The sequence below is a fragment of the Homo sapiens genome, chromosome 18 (assembly GCF_000001405.40).
Source record: "Homo sapiens chromosome 18, GRCh38.p14 Primary Assembly".
In the NCBI taxonomy this organism is placed as follows: domain Eukaryota; kingdom Metazoa; phylum Chordata; class Mammalia; order Primates; family Hominidae; genus Homo; species Homo sapiens.
The window spans coordinates 53,221,409-53,239,324 of record NC_000018.10 but is presented as its reverse complement, the minus strand read 5'-3'; the positions used below and the strand labels follow the sequence as shown (position 1 = coordinate 53,239,324).

General features: G+C 34.6%; 1 protein-coding gene and 1 non-coding gene across 6 annotated transcripts in view; both read right to left on the bottom strand.

Moving 5' to 3' along the window:
• DCC (DCC netrin 1 receptor) overlaps nucleotides 1–17,916 on the bottom strand; it is a 1,195,703-nt gene that overhangs the window by 296,575 nt on the left and 881,212 nt on the right. The window lies entirely within an intron of this gene.
• Nucleotides 2,135–2,224, bottom strand: MIR4528 (microRNA 4528). The gene has a single exon (NR_130465.1). It is a non-coding gene; the product is annotated as a microRNA 4528 (primary transcript).

The following is a 17,916-nucleotide window of genomic DNA, read 5'->3' as shown; positions in this document are numbered from 1 at the left end:
ATTTCATCTTTTCTATTCTTTAGGTTTTTCTTCCCTCCAGTTTCTGTAACTATAAAATGGAGAACAGTAATGGACTTTGCTGGAGTTTTTTTTTTTTCATTTTTATTTTTTATTTATTTATTTTTATTATTATTATATTTTAAGTTCTAGGGTACATGTGCACAACGTGCAGGTTAGTTACATATGTATACACGTGCCATGTTGGTGTGCTGCACCCATTAATTCGTCACTTACATTAGGTATATCTCCTAATGCTATCCCTCCCCCCTCCCCCCACTCCACAACAGGCCCCGGTGTGTGATGTCCCCCTTCCTGTGTCCAGGTGTTCTCATTGCTCAATTCCCACCTATGAGTGAGAACATGCGATGTTTGGTTTTTTGTCCTTGCGATAGTTTGCTGGAGTTTTGTGAAGGTTAAATAATACTAGGTATGGCTAATTTACATGACACATAACAGACATTGTTCCTTTCAATAAATATTAGCTGTCTGATTGCTCTGGGTTCACTTTATGTAGGAAAATTTACCCATACAATGAGGTTCTCCTCTCCTCTTAGTATACCTGTATGACAGCATTTTTCAATTTCACTTTTACATGTTTGGCTGCTTGTCTCAGTCCTCTAGGCTCTGAGTTCCTTAGTTGCAATGATACTTCTCATACTTCTCATATATCTTTACATTTTCAGTGTTTACTAGTATTATAAGGCTTCTAAGTAAAGGGACCCCTGAAATGTGTGAGAGCTTGGACACATAAGGCTTATAAGAGCTTGGACACAAAAAGCTTATAAGAAAAAGGGACCCCTGAAATGTGTGAGTGCTTGGACAAATATCAATATCTCTGATTCTTTGTTTCTTCATCTTAAATGAAAATGGAAATATTTCAATTCTGTGTATATCATAAAACTTTATAAGGATTAATATGCATAACTAAAAGATTAATGTCTCATTGTGAACATATTTCTAAAATAGTTACAGTCTTATGGAACACAACTACCATATGTTAATGTAACATCTATCATCAATAAAGTGTTCACATTGAATAATTCTAGGAGTCATGATTCACCTAGAACCCAACACTACGTATCAGATAATAAATTAGAATATCTATTGGAAGAGTAGAATCAAGTGCAATTCTCCAAAATGTAATGCATTTCTGTGTGTCATAAGTAAAAACAGCTGTCATGAAGGAAATAATCAGCAACATATAGTAGATAAATTCAAGGAATATAAGAAACAAATTGCTTTGAACCCCTGACATCTACAAAGTTTATCCTGTGAAGGTCAAGCACAGTGCTCCATGAGATTCTTTTAGAAAGTAATAGGTTTAAAGGTTTCAAACAAATTGTGTTCTTAGGTTTTCTTGGTAAGTAATAGATTTGAAGATTAAATCTGATTCTGTGCTAAGGTCTTTGTTTTCAGGGGTGGCAAGATGATAATCTAGTTGTTTATTTAAATTGATTTTGTGACTAACACATAATTTCACAACTAGTAATGCTTAATGCCAGCAGCTCGGTTTGTCAGACATTTTTTGATGAAATAAATGTTATTTTTATTTAACTTTGTATACTCAATAATGATTTTGTAAAACAATGGGAATTATAATTTGATTTCTTTCACAAGAACTCACTTATAAATAATGTACTTTTAGATGCATTTTTTTATGGAAGGTATACTGAGTTGTCACAGAATTATTAAAACTACGCTCTAAATTGTATGTTTAGTCAGTGTGACAACTGACTAGGTTAATATAGCAAACCTGTCACTAGCTGAAAATCCAGCTGTCAACCACAAAGCAGGCACCCTGCATGAGCACTCAATATGACTACTGATTGGCTGTGACCATCAAAGATGAAAGGAATTCGAGTTAAATATTTTGAACAAATTACTTCTCTAACCCTTACTTTGTTCATCCACTAATGGAGACAATAACTACTTCACAGAATTTTTGTGAAAATTAAATTCAAATATGCCAAGATATATAAAACACTTTGCAGAATACTGGCAGATAGCAGGTACCCCAAAAACATTTAGCCTTTTTTTCTATTTTATCTCAGTCACCCACACACCCACATATTTAGCATAATGTTCTTCTATAGGCTTTGCATTGTTTAACTGTGAAGGACAATCTAATGAGCTAGATTCTACTGGGTGTCCAGATCATACATATAATGATCTCATCATACATATAATGATCATATATATAAAGATCTGTACTCTCAGTAGAATATATAATATATATATATTTGTGGAGAGTAACGGTTTTAAACATATATAAATAGTTACATTCCATTTTGGAAAAAAAAGAACCATATTAGAGTACTTAATACTGCTTGATTTCAAGATGAGCTATAAAGATATAGCAAATAAGACCACATGGTACTACCATAGGGATAAACAAATAGATCAATGGAACAGAATAAGATCCAGAAATAGACACAAATGTGCATACATATATGGTCAACTGTTTTCAAGAAAGGCACTAAATAATTCAATGAGGAAAGAGAACTCTTTTAATAAATGGTGCCGACAAAACTGGATACCTATATAAATAACCTTGGCCCCTTCCTTAATCTATACACAAAAATTAATTCAAGGTGTATCACAGACCTAAATGTAAAAGCTAGTAAAACATAGAAGAATATCTTTATACCTTGGGGTAAACAAAACTTTCTTAAGTAGATCATAAAAGGTCAAAATCAATAACTCTGACTTTAACAAAATAAAAACAGCATCTGCTCATCAAAAGACAGCATTAAAAAAGTAAAAAGGTAAGCCGCCAATTTGTATAAAATACTAACAATACCAAAGCCTCCAACTTACAGAGGTAAGCCTCCAATTTGTAGAAAATGTTAACAATACCAAAATATAATTAAAATGTTTTCCTAAAATGTGTAAAGAATTTCTACACATTGATAATTTAGAAGATTAACAATTCAACCTAAAGTAATGTGCAAAAAAGAATCTTCAAATGGTCAAATATATGAAAAAATATTCAACACTTTTAGTTATTAGAGAAATACAAATTAAAGCCACAAGGTGATGTAACTGTATACCTATTAGATTTGCTAAAATTAAGATGTCAACAAATTCCATGTGTTGGTTGGGATTGGACAACTGGAATTTCCATATACCTCTGTTGCGAATACAAAATGTTATAATCATTTAGGAAAATTATTTCTAATTAAGTAAGACATACATCTAAATTCTGATTCAGTAGTTTTACTTCTAAATATCTACACGAGACAAAGTTTATGTCCAGTAAAGCCTTTTCCAACAGTGTGGCAGCAGTTTTATCTGTAATATCCTTGAAATGGAAACAATCCAATATTCATCAAAGATGCTTTGGTGTATCCATTCAATGGAATTATACTTAACAAAAAATTTACCATAATATTAAATACCATGCATGGATCTCAGAAACATGTCAAAATAAGCCAGACACCAAAGGACAAATATTGTGTAATTCCATTTGTTTGAAGTGCTTGGAATAGGCAAATTCAGAGACAGAAAGTAGAATAGTGGTTACCAGTTTCTTAGGGAAGAGGGGAACGGCGATGTATTGTTAAAGAGGTGTAGAGTTTCTGTTTGAGATGATGAAAAAGTTCTGGAGATGGATGATGTTGATGGTTACAAAACTATGAATATACTTAACGTCAATGAATTGTACACTTAAAAACAGTTGAAATGGTAAATGTTGTGTTATGTATATTTTACTACATGTACAAAAGATAGCCAAATACCAGGTCAAAAGTGCACAGGTGGGAGAGTCCATAATTTTTTTCTGCTCTAACTGATACTTTCATAGTTTTCTCTGTCAATCTTTCCAGAAACAAACAAAAAAGAATGCTTACTTGGAAGACAAGAATCTGCAGAAAGAAATAGTGACTTATTTTTCTAGGAGTTCTTTCTTCTTGTAACTCTACTCAGACAAAAGATAAATAATTCCAAGCATCACATGTCATTCTAAAGGGTTTAAATTTTCATTAAAGTGAGACAGCAGACAGGCTTCCATGGAAATAATGTGAATTTGTGCCCACATCCAGCAGGGATAATGAGTCTTTTAATTATAAGTTATTGGGCCAAATTCAAAAAGACATGATGGGCAGGCATTAGGTAACTAAATAAAAAATAGCAATTGCATTTCTCCCCTTGCATTTTAAAGGGACAACACCTGAGAACCTCTACTTGATATTCCTTACACAATGAACCCTGTGTCATGAAGTCATTTGAAATAATGACATTTGATGCTGTGTATCCAATAACTTTAAATAACATCATTAACATTAGAATGAAAAGAATGGAAATTGGCTATCTAGAGGGCACCCATCCTCATGAGGTTTTTCAAACAAAAATTATATGACTGTCCGTTTGTGACACATATTTGTCTTGTGTAAGTGATAAAATGAATATATTTACAAGGAGGAAGAGAAGAAGAAAGGAACAAACCATCTAGTCATCAAAAGCTTCAGCTTTAAATCAATAATTACAGAACAAATTGTTACTTCTTCAAGAGATCTAGCTATTAAAAGGCATTATCACTTCACTGAGAATCCACATGTGTGTTCCTCAGTGTTTTCTTTTGATATAATCCAGAGTAAGCACTGGTTTAGGTAAAAAACTGGAGTCAGATTTCAGGTTTGTCACTAAATTGCCAAGGGATTTGGATGTGCCTATATTTTACACAGTCTTGAAAATGAGGGGCTTGGGTGATTTTATAACTAATTTTCTTTTAAACACGTGACCCTAAGTCACTGTTTAAGAGAGTGAGGGTTTTCACAGGGCCTACTTATGACTTGTGTGAGACACTGGGCCAGGGGTTGAGTGATATCTGGGGTCTTGAAGCAGAAAAAAACCTGACTGGCCAATATTTTATTTATTTATTTATTTATTTTTTTAATTTGAGACAGGGTCTTACTCTATCGCCCAGGCTGGAGTGCAGTGGTGTGATCTTACGCACTGCAACCTCTGCCTCCTGGGTTCAAGCGATTCTCCTGGCTCAGCCTCCCGAGTAGCTGGAACTACAGGTGACCAACACCACGCCCGGCTAATTTTTGTATTTTTTATTTCATTTTATTTTGAGATGGAGTTTCACTCTTGTTGCCTAGGCTGGAGTGCGATGGTGCGATTTCAGTTCACTGCAACCTCCGCCTCCCAGGTTCAAGCGATTCTCCTGCCTCAGCCTCCAGAGTAGCTGGGATTACAGGCATGCCTCACCATGCCCAGATAATTTTGTATTTTTAGTAGAGATGGTGTTTCTCCATGTTGGTCAGGCTGGTCTCGAACTCCCAACCTCAGGTGATCTGCCCTCCTCGGCCTCCCAAAGTGCTGGGACTACAGGCATGAGCCACTGCGCCTGGTCCTAATTTTTGTATTTTTAGTAGTGACAAGGTTTCACCATGTTGGCCAGGCTGATATAAAACTCCTGACCGCAGGTGATCCACCCAACTCGGCCTCCCAAAGTGCTGGGATTACAGGCTTGAGCCACTGTACCTGGCCTGGCCAATACATTTTGAGATGAGAAAGAGTGACAAACATATTTGCTTCATTCCTGTATCTCACTTTTGGTTCGAGCCTTGAACTATGCCACATAAAAAAGGTGTTTATAACAATCATGAAGTTATATAAGCAGTGGTTCACATGCTTGGTGAATTATTCACAAAGGTAACTCGGAAGAGTTTTAAGTAAAATCAGATTATAGTTTAGCAGAATAAACAGGAAGTCAAGCAGGAAAATCATTTTTCTGTTTATCACTCATTTTTGTTATGGCTTTGAATGAAAATATGATAAATATGTTGACCTTGAAACCGCAGGAAATAAGATGAAAAGGAAACCTGGAATAATTACCTAAAAAAATCGGCTTCAAATATTCTAGGGAAAAAGTGTATAGAAAGACTGAAAACTGTTTCTTGATATGATTTTAGTTTGAATGAAAATGAGCTAGATCTATCCCTGCATATTACTTGACCTTTTGGATATAGGCAAAAAAATGTGTATTTTGGGGTAAAGCAGAATATTTGAATTATTTTTGTGAATTACATGAAGAAATAGGGAGGACACTACAGGTGAATTGGATTAATAACTGGTATGATGACACATGTAAAGAACGGGAGAACGTCAACATGTAGAAAGGTTTAGTGGCTTTTTTAGGGTCATTCATATCTATGCTTTTCAGCCATTATAGGATTTTCTCCCATAGCACTGATTAGCTTGACCTTAAGAACAGGCAAGGTAGTTCATCAGGACTATATGAGATAAATGATGATAGTATAAAGGCAAAAATAAAATAAATCTTGAGGGTGCAGAATATGGTTAGTCACTTGATCAACCACAAGGTCCAGTTTTAAAAGGAGAGTGAGAAAATAAGAATAATAATACCTGGGGAAAAAAAAAAAAGAAAGGAGCAAGTTGAAAGTGTTTATGAGGCTTATCAGCTAATCAGTTTATTGAGAGCGGAGACATTAGAGATTCAGATGAACACAGGGGCTGTCATATAGGATGGTTTTGAAGTTTAAGGTTTTTAGTGAAAGTCGCTTCGAGGAGAAGAAAACAAGATTAAAATATGGCCTGGGTATGGTGGATGAAATAAAGTGGTAGAGAAGATTGCTGGAATGGTGTGTCAAATAATTGAGCCACAGAATTAGCATTTTCGATTTAGCCGGACACATTCCAGGTGTACAACTAACCTTCATTTATTGATGTTGAATAAGTGCATGAAGACACAAGGTACCCTGAGAGGTTGTAGCAGTGGGGTTAATGTAAGATAAAATGTAACAAAGATACATGAAGAGGTCTTGCATGTGAGTCAGACAGAGCCTGGCATGAAGAGAATGAAAGACATGCAGTTTGTCAGCATCATTCATGAAATACTTATAGGTTTTCATGGAAAATCAGATCCATAATAAGTCCATAAGATAATGTGACCACCCACAACATCAATGTGATTGTAGCACATCTGAATAATAATGCTGTGCTTAAGATGAGAGAGGTACTCTTAAGGGATGTCTAATAGTCACATGACATTTGCAACTATGCAGAGGAGGATGACAAGTCAAGTAGGGAGCTGACAAGCAAAGAGAAATATTTGTAGAAACTAAGAATATTTTACTTGGAGAAGAGAAGCATTGGTGGAGAGAAGGGGGAGGGGGGCCCTTGACAGACATCCCCAAATATTAAAAGTCATGCCGCAAGAGAAAGTCACTAAACTCATGAGATGTATTTATAGTCCCAGGGGAAACAATTATGACAAATGAGCAGACGTTATAGAGGGACAGAACTTTGAATATACATTTCTGAAAGTTAGACCTACATATGACAAAAATGGTTGCTTAAAGACAAAAATATCCCTGTCATTAGAAAAGTTCAAGCATGAGCTTGAAGATGACGTAAAAGGACTCAAACGTCAAATGAACTATTGGAAAATCAGACTTTTATCAGTCTTTTGGCACATATTTTGAGTCAGCAAAATAAGAATTACAGTCTAAAGATACATTTTTGGTGATTCTGTTTTTCTGTTGTGCATGCGATAAGAAGAGGCTGAAGACTGATAAAGGTAGAATGAATTAAAATTGTTAATACTGGAAAATTAATCTAACACACTGAGGATTAAATAGAATTTGTGTAACACCCACACAGTTAAAAGTTTCAATCCAATTAATACTCCCTTAAATATTATTTTCTGGGCTCTGAAAATGAGTCATCAAATGTAAAACCCAGACCTGAAATAAGTCTAGATTAACTTATTTATGAATTAATCATAAAAACAGCCTCCTCAAACTCATTATATCATTGGTCACAATCTTCTGCAAAGACAGGCAAAGAATAGCTGATTGCTTGCATTAGGTGAAGCTAGTATGTGCTGCATTGTTCAGACACTTGCTTTATTATCTATTTTACACATACAGATGTTGATAGTTATAATAAGCATAAATTTATTTTATCATTTGCTTATTATGACAGGTACCATTTTATGTATTTTATGATCATTTATGACTTTTCATCTAAAGAGCCAAGAGCACATTCAGAAATATATTTCCCAAGAATAGTACCATAACACAAATGTTTGCTTAGTTTGAACCGAATCTGATGTGACAGCATGATAGATACTTCTTCCTTTGGCTAAAAAGCATCACTTCCCATCAATGTCAGTTCCTTACAAGACCCACATGTCATAGAGTAAGTATATTTTCTTATTGTAACCTCCGACTCCTGTTGTGTGTCCCTCTGTCAAGCCATATCCCATAGGAAACTTCTTGACATCTGCGTCCTCCTCAGTCTGGAGGAAAAAATCAATTCTAAGATCAAAACTACATTCCTGGAAAATAGTCTCAGAAAAAAAAACACCAATTTTATTAAAGAAAATAATAGGCAAATCTACATATCTGCATAATACCCCAAGGAAAAGTAGACTTCAAACTGCATGATGTCACAGACTTACATCCTTCCTTCACATACATATTTCCAAAAAATCACTGAATTTACTATCAACTATAGAGAAAAATCAATCATACAGGTGAATGATTGAAACACAGTTTTCATCTAGTATTCTAAATTGAATCTCCATCTATGGAATTTGTAAATACTTTATAACTTTGAAGTGAAAATTCTTAAGGCCAGCATTTGCTCCCTTTACATATAATTCAAAGTAAGGGAAAAAATTACTAACTGGTCTAATTAGCCTATTATACTACAATTTAGACACCTTACTTTGATGATTTAAATTTCAGATTATTTAAAAATAAGGCTTCTTAAGGAATATCAGTATCTAATTTTTAAACAATAGTTACATAATAGCTGTTGACTAAATGAATCAAGAAAATTAAATTCATGAATAAATAGCTGAATGACAGACACAAGACTATACACATTATTATTTAAAATGATACGCTGGAGTCCCTTAAGGAAAGAGAACTTTGTTTTCTAACAAACATTAAAAAATTCTGATCATTTCATTTTTGAAAGGCTGAAATAATCCATCACTAATGAAATTATTTATATTCATTGCAAAGATATTATTAAAGGCACTGTGCAATTCTTCTACTTTGGGGGTATATCAAATTATATGTTAGTGTTACAGATAAAAGCATAGTTTATAGACAGTAAGCAGGATAAATGTCTATAATTAAATTTGCCAAAGTAAATGCTAAATGTGGTACTGTTGTGCAAGATGATCACTTGTATTTCACAGAAGGTGCAGAGGTGTCTCTCATTCATCAATAACAATGAAGATGGAGGAACCATTTTCTGAGCTAAACAATAAAGATGTAATCTGGAGATACTTATACACAGATTATACAGCCTCATCTTTGTAATCATCTTCATGTAAAGGAGCTTGCAAAACAAGATAGCCAGGTAGAATAATTATTTGGATCTAGTCTATTGTTATTTTTCCAAGGAATTGGAAGAAAATAAAGGCTTATAGTCTCATAACCAAATTTGTAAGATGTATGTGTTCATGCTAAAGAATTTGACCTTTCTTTTGATTTCTTCTTTTTACCTTTGCATGTTCACAGCCACAATATAATTAAGTCAGCTTTTTTCCTTTCTTTAAACTACATTTTTTTTTCCTGTGGTGTCCTAGAGCCTACAGAGGGAATTGAGAGAGATGCTTAGAAACTGGCAATCCTAGCATCCGCCCTTCTCTAGAAGTAAGCTATTAAATGTTCAAAATCTGGCTCTGTAGGTGAAAAAATCTTTAATTTGTAGCATTTGCTGAGTTCTGTGGTGCAAATACACCGAAGAAGGCCAATTTCAAGCTGCCAGCATAATGTCACTGAAAACAGAGCTGGGAGGAGATGTGTATTTTCACCCCACAGATACGATATGAATAACCTAAAGGGCATAGATAATAGTAAAATGTAGTAAAAGAATGAGGAACTGTTACATGTAACATATTTGATACATTTGCCTTTAATATAATTTGTTTAATTATAAGGCTATGTAACTGAATTTTTAATAATTGCTGTGTTTAACATAGGGCTCACAAAATTCTTAAAACATTAACAATTGATTCTTGCAAGACAGTACAACCTGGCTCCAGTACCCCATTACCCTCATCCCAAGGAGACCAATCTGTGTTTTTGCATAACTTTGCCTTTGCATATTATACCAGGATGTCACATAAATCTTTGTTTTTAAAAGATTTTATTCCATTACAAAAGTGTGGAAACCTTTTATTTAATTAGACTTTATTATAGTGGGATCTGTAGATCATCTCCCTTTATACTATTTGGACTACAATTTGAAAACACTAAGTTTCTGGCTTAAAGACCTACTGAATCAGAAGTAGCAACAGTGGTCTGGAACCATTAGGAAATGTATATTATACTCAGAGAAAATACAAGTCATAATGCTGGACATACATTTTCAACCAAGCATTATTAATTTAAATAATAAAGAAATATAAAACAATTGAACATAAATTAGTTAAGTATAGAAGAAATGTCAGATAACACTGCAACTAATAATGCACTAGAAGAGTGTGTGTTAGGGGAATAGGGAAAAATCTTTGGCATTTTAAACAAGTAACTGGTTTAAGGTATTGTTATGTTCCTTAAAGTTTGAGAACTTTAATTGGGGCCCCTCAACTTTTCCTTTCTCCAAGGTTCAGCTTCATAGACCTCTTATCTCATAAACCCCGAAATCCTTGACTATTATCAAAGTTAAGTATAGTCAGAAAATGCCCAACCTTCTCTAAATGACAGACAAGGGGAAAGTGTCTGCTACCTTTATCATAGGTAGAGAAGTTAATTCCCCATGGAAGAGCAGAAACTCTACGCAAGCCCAGGTGTTATCATATGCCAGTTGCTCACTGATTGCTGACATTCATAGAAGTGCTGAGGTTTTTTGGCTGACAAATAATTTGGAAGACTCTTACGGAGCTGAAGTGTTTAGAAAGTGACTCCTACACAGCATATATTCAATGAATATTTATCATTAAACAAACAAACTAATTAATGAAAGAAATAATCCAAGATTGTAACGGAAATAACCTTTAAATTCTTCATTGACTTTTCTCTGATAAACCTTCCAAATTAAGAGAGCATCTGGATTTTTTATTTTTTATTTTTATTTTTTTACTAACAACGTTTTCTTTAAATGCCATTATATTTGATTTCATCAAGGGAATTATCTGTATTGGCATTGAAAAGAAACACAAATGTATTTTCCTTTCTTTGAAGTATAAGAAAACAAAACCCAACTTGGAAATATTGAAATATAGGCATCTCTAGAGAAATACATGTTGATACTGTAGTCATGGACATGGAAATATATATTCTTTGCAACATTTAGACTTATCTATGCATAAAAGATAAAAATCTACAGTCAGCTTCATATTTTAAAAAGATATCAATTTTGTTTAAAGTTAGTATAAGGCATTTCTTGACATATAAATCCCTTTTGTGTGAGTCTCTTCAACTTTATCCACATAAAAATAAAATAGACAGCAATCTAGTTAATAGCTACTGCCTCTCAGCTAAAACACAAAATGGTCTGTCAAGTAGACTCCTCTGAAAGATGAGAAATGTTTAGATAAGAGGACCTTGCATTACTACAAAAAAAAGAAAGTGAAATTTCTTACTGTTTACCCTGGAACAAAGTTATTTGTAGAAGACACGGTAATTTCCACCAGTTGCATTAAGATTAGATACATAATATGTTCTTAAGTTAATTTTCTGAAGATACAGAATTGTTCCTTAATACTTTCTTTTTCCTACTATTAACATACTTCTCAATGTATCTGACAAATCCATTTGTATGCAACATACACTTTATACAAAATGCTAGGGAAACGTGAAGATGATGCTCTTAGATTCTGTCAGTTTTACATAGAGTTTTCCAGTAGACTGGGTAATGTTTTGAACAGCTTTGGAAAACTAATGGAGGCTATCATTTTCTATGTGAAAGAACAACATAATAAATGAAATAAGTGGGTTTCATTGTTGAGTGTTATTGAGTACATATATTAAGATTGTATGATGCTGGTGGACATTTGATGAGATTAAACTAAAATAACTTCCAGATAAAAATATATCAGATTCAGTTTAGTATCTAAAGAAGTTATATCTTAAAATATACTCAGATTGGCCAGACATGGTGGCTCACACCTGTAATCCCAGCACTATGGGAGGCCGAGGTGGCAGATCACGAGGTCAGTAGATTGAGACCTTCCTAGCTAACATGGTGAAAACCCATCTCTATTAAAAATACAAAAAATTAGCTAGGGTGGTGGCACTCACCTGTATTCCAGCTACTCGGGAGGCTAAGGCAGGAGAATCACTTGAACCCAGGAGGCAGAGGTTGCACTGAGTCAAGATCACACCACTGCACTCCACCCTGGGTGACAGAGCGAGACTCTGCCTCAAAAAAAAAAAAAAAAAAATATATATATATATACACACACACACACACACACAGTTACACTATTATCTGACATCTATTCTATACTTAACTAATATATATTTGGTTTAGTTTTATTTACTATTTAAGTTAATAATGACTGATTATAAAATGTATGCTCAGTTTTATGACTTGCATTTTCTCTGAATTTAATACAAATTTCCTAATGGTTGCAGAACTCTGTTGCTAAATAATCAGAGGTCGGCTTTTTTGTTTGTTTTTTGTTTTGTTTGTTTGTTTTTTTGGCCAACAACCCTTGAGGGATGAGGTAAGGCCCTTTTCAGTGGATCTCAATTTTCCCATTTAAAACTTTTAATAACAAATATATTATATAACTTGGAATTGAAGAAAAGTCAGAATTACATTCAAAAATACCCTAAGTTTTTAAGGTTGTCTACTGAAGTTTATTGAGGTATCAGTTGTGCTCTCTTAAAAACCTGCTGTCCCGCTGATGTGCTTTTTAAGTCCCATGGGGAGAAATACATAGCTTGAGGTACAGAATCTTCCATGTAGGTTCACTACAGGAAAAAAACCGAAAAGTCAGGGAAATGTGTTATTTTGGTTCCTCTTCTAGCTCTCCTTTCTCAGCACATTTTAGAACCAAAACTTTCAGTTTCCACCAACAGTTCTGATGTCTCCTAGCTGCTGATCTAGACCTTACCTTTGTCTGGGAAAAATTCCCACTGAGAACCTAAGCCACTTGAATGCAAGGCTTATTTTTGTATTCTGATTTGCATCCCTTCCCTTAGCATTGGGCCCTATCCGAAACATTGTGTCCAAATGACCAACAGCCCTGGCTGGGGCTCAAGTCCCTGTGCTGCTACTCAGCCCTTCTCTGTGTGACACTGGGGCATATTATCTCATCTCTCTAAGCCTCAGTGTTCTCTCTGTAAAATTGGGATAATAATGCAGCCCACTGGCCTTACTATTTTTCTGTTATCCATCACCACTCTGCCCCATGCCCATTTTTTTCTTCCATAGGTAGCTTAGATCCATGGGTTTTCTTTTTAATCACTCCTTTGCAAAAACTATTAATCCCCCTGACCCGTTCTTCCCTGGAAAAACATCAAACTGAATAAAACCCAGCTATCTGCCTACCCCAAGCCAGCAACTGAGCAATCAACCATGGGGAGAAAAACAAACATGATTGTGTTGGTTAGTTTCACTTTAAATTCATGACAACCAGTCTCAAATGGTCAGTCCACAGTACTCAGCAATCATAATGTCATGTATATTATGACTTCTTTTCTACAATCTGAGATAACCATTTTCCACCTTTTTCCCTGTTTTGAAATCCTCAATACTTGTTCCTCCAAGCCTTCATACTCTGATGACCTTTACTTACACTTATCGTCTCTGCAGCTCAAATTGACTAATATATCAGCATCCAGACCTGTTCTCTCTGCCTTTGCTCAACTTACCAAGATTCAATTGTCTGTGCCCATTCATTTGTATACTGGATCCTGTGTGTTCTTGCCTCCTCAAAGGATTGCATTCCTGCAATTTTCTATTCTCTCTTCTGCATCATTGCTGTGTCTCTTTTACTGCTTTATTTCTAAAAGTTGTGGTTATCTCTCATGTTCAAAAATGAAACAACAAAAATAAATGAAACAAACAATAACACCTCCCTCAAGCCTACCACCTCCTAAAGGCACTATCCATCTCTTCACTCCACTTCAGAGCAAAACTCCTCACAAATATAATCTATAGTCACTCTACTTAATCCCTTCATACTCTCTCTCGAATGTCATATCTCCCTCCCACAGTGGTCACCTTACTGACATGATTTACTGTATCTCTCATTAGTATATGACATAGTTAACAGCTCCCACCCTTTGGAAACATTCTTCCCCACCATGACATCTGTGAAATCACCCTTCCTCTTTTTATCCCTGTCATATTCCTCCTCATCTGCCCAATCTCTAAATGTTAAGTATTCCAAATTTCTGCCATATTTTTTCTAACTGTAGTCTCTCCCTAAGTGTTATCAATATGACAGTGACTCCTAAATTTATATCTCCTGGCATGACCTGTCATCAGAACTATTATCATATACCAACTTGTCTACATGATTGACATTCCTAATTGTATATTTAATAGCTATCTCGAATTCAAAATGTCCAAAAGTGATTGTCCCCTAAACCAAATCTTATCTCATTAAGTAGCTCCACAATCTGCTTACATTTTATAGCCAAAAATCTACTCTATATCCTTGATCTTGCTCTGCCTTCTGCCCTATAATCCAATAACCAATTTTGTTGGCTCTAGATCCAGCACAGACCCTGATTGTTTCTACTTCCCTCTCCATCACCTCCTATGACTCCTAGGTTCCTGCTACATGATCTCACATGGAGCACTTGGTTGTCTCTGAACTGGTCTTCCTGCTTCCTCTACGTTCCACCCCCTGATAATTTTCCCACAGTAGTCAGTGTAATTCTTAAAAAAGGTGAATCTGATTACTCTCCTTTCAATATGCTTTTCATTGTCCATAGAATGAAATCCCAACTTTTATCACACCCTACAAAGCCCCGCCAGATCTGGCCGGAACCCAGCAATCCGTCTTCTATTCTATTCTCATTTCAGCTTCACAGTCATGCAAAGATAGTTCCCTCCTTACTGCTTTTGCCCTAGTTGTTGGCATCACTTGAAATATGTTACTCTGAGTGTGCACAAAGCTGATCCTTTTCTATTCACGCCTCAGCTCATCTCCTTAAGAGTTCCTTCCCTGACAATCTGATTTAAATGAGGTCCTCAAATTCTATCGCATGACTGTTCTTGATTTTCTTCACAGAACTTACCACTCCCTTGTGTCAATTGTTAATTTGTTTATTAGTCTATTTCCATGTATTAGAATATAAGTAAGCTCTAGAAAAGAAGGCATTTGATTGCTTTTGTTATAGCCTTTCCAGCAACAAGCACAGTTCAAAATTGGTATTTCAGAATTAGTTTTATAATATCTTATAGGATTATTAAAAGCAATAAATGAAATTCTGCTTTCATTGCTTAGCACATTGCCAGGCACAAAATACCTTTGGGAAAGGTTACTGCCATTATTACAGTTATAATTAGGTATTCATTGAATGTGTGTCTAGAATATTGACTAAAATAGCTCGTGTTAATGTGTTAAATCTTTCAATAAAGTGCTTGCATTTTAAAAGTTGTTTTATAATATAAATAACATTCAAAACTATACTACTGAATAAAGTTTTTGCACATGGGTGAATGGTTCAACATCTTTAAAATCAAATCACATAGTTAGCAACTGCTTTTACCTACTGGTAGGGCTGAACTTATTCATGTCTTCTAACTAATCAACCATTCCAACTATAAGGGCAACTTCCATGAACTAAATTAAAATCAGAGACCTTATCACTAGACCTAGGTTCATTTAATTTAAGCCCATTATTAAACCTCCCACTTTTCAAAAATGTATGACTTGAGGGAAATCTCATTAAACTTCATGGAAAGGCTAAAGTGAGCTTTGCCTTCAGAGCCAAGCAGAAATGGAGCCATTAGAAATGTGTGTGATGAAGTATAAATTATAAGGTAATATTAAAGTGAGGCTAGAACTCAAAAGAGAATGGTATTCTATCATATATTTTAATCTCTTTTTGTCAAAATCCTTTGTGCAAGTATACTCAATGGCAGTGACTGCAATAAATTGGAAAAGACAAAAATATAACATTCTCAAAACACAACAGAAAAATGATGTATTTTATGTATATGAAATATGAAAGATGAGAAAAGTCTAGAAAATGTTTTCCTAAGTCCTATTTACATTAATAAAAATTCATATTGACATGGAGATTTAATCATGTCTCTAACTTATTCAAATCTTCTAACAGATGTCACAGAAGGTTCTCAATATCCTATTCTAGTTATGCATAAATGTCCTTTATAACTATTCCTTGATTCACTTCTGCTTTCCATAAATTTATTTTTTCACTTAATATATATTATTATTTTAAATTAATTGAGATAAGAAGGTATTTTTGGAGGAAGATGAGGTTCTTCAATTTATGGAGTACATTGTTCTCATTTGTAATGTTACAATGACATTAAGTAACTTTGACAGAGTTTTAAAGGCTGTATTTCATCTAAAATGTTTTTGTAGAAAAAACAATTGGTAAAAAAGCTGAGTTAAACAAATACTTCTCATAGCCTTTAATATCTCCAATAGGAAACCTCACATATTTCTCACAATTTTTTAAGCCATAGCAACCTTGTTTCTTGGGAAAGTACCATAGGCCGGGCGTGGTGGTTCACGCCTGTAATCTTAGCATTTTGGGAGGCCGAGGCGGGCAGATCACGAGGTCAGGAATTCAAGACCAGCCTGGACAATATGGTGAAACCCCGTCTCTACTAAAAAAAAGTAAAAAATTAGCCAGGCATGGTGGCACACGCCTGTAGTCCCAGCTACTCAGGAGGCTGAGACAGAAGAATTGCTTGAACCCAGAAGGCAGAGGTTGCAGTGAGCTGAGATCACACCACTGCACTGCAGCCTGGGTGACAGAGCAAGACTCCATTTCAAAAAAAAAAAAAAAAAAAGAAAAAAGAAAAAGAAAAAAGAAAAAGGTAAGTATTCTCTCAAATAGACTTTAGGAAGGGCTGCTCTGAGAAAATGAGTGATAGTGTAATACAAAGATATGCTTTGAATTTGCAAATTTGCAGAGTATTCTTTTATTCAACTTAATTACAGAAAGCAGTTAAGTTGGAATGATGCATTTATGTTGTTTAAAAACTAGTTATCCAATAATTTACTATTTTATTATTCCTCTAATTCATGGTTGATCTTTATTCATTGACTGTAATTTCACTGAAAAAAGACGTAAACTGTTGAGTTTTTGGAACTTCAAAAAAAGTCTAAGAATCAATTTAGCAACTGGTCAGGAGCTCTGGTCTAAATTCTGATGGAATATGAGACAAAATTATGTCTTTTACAGTTTCTTTGGAACAATCCTATGTTTATGTTTCTGGTTTCCTCTTATTAAATATGACAGTTGGCTTTTTCAGCAGATTTTCTAAAAACAATTTATAAATGTGGAATTTTGGAACAGAAGTATTCTGAAAGCACTGACAATAATGGGAAGTGAGGCATCTCTTCCTAGCCAATTAAAGCATCTGTCTGTATTCTTGACCACTGATTCATTAAGTTTTTCATTTCTCTATAAGAAAGGGGATCTAAAAATGGAAAACTGTTTTATTTCTCAATTAAATGAAGCAAAAGGGAAATTAATTTTTTTATGAATTGGTTTCTTTGCTCATTTATAAAGTAAGTTGGGATACAAAAAGTAAAATAGTCGTTGCCAGGGATTCTGTAATTGGGTAGAACTCATCTTCCCAAACTAAAACTTAGTATCTATTCACCAATAACTCCCCATTTTCTCTCACATTCCCACATAAGGAATGTGATCCAGAATTTGCCTTCATGGAGCTCACAGTTGGGTAAGAAAACATGTGAAAGAACGTTCACTTTTCATCTAGCCACACTTAATCTGTTGCAGCCTTTCAAAGTTGACATTA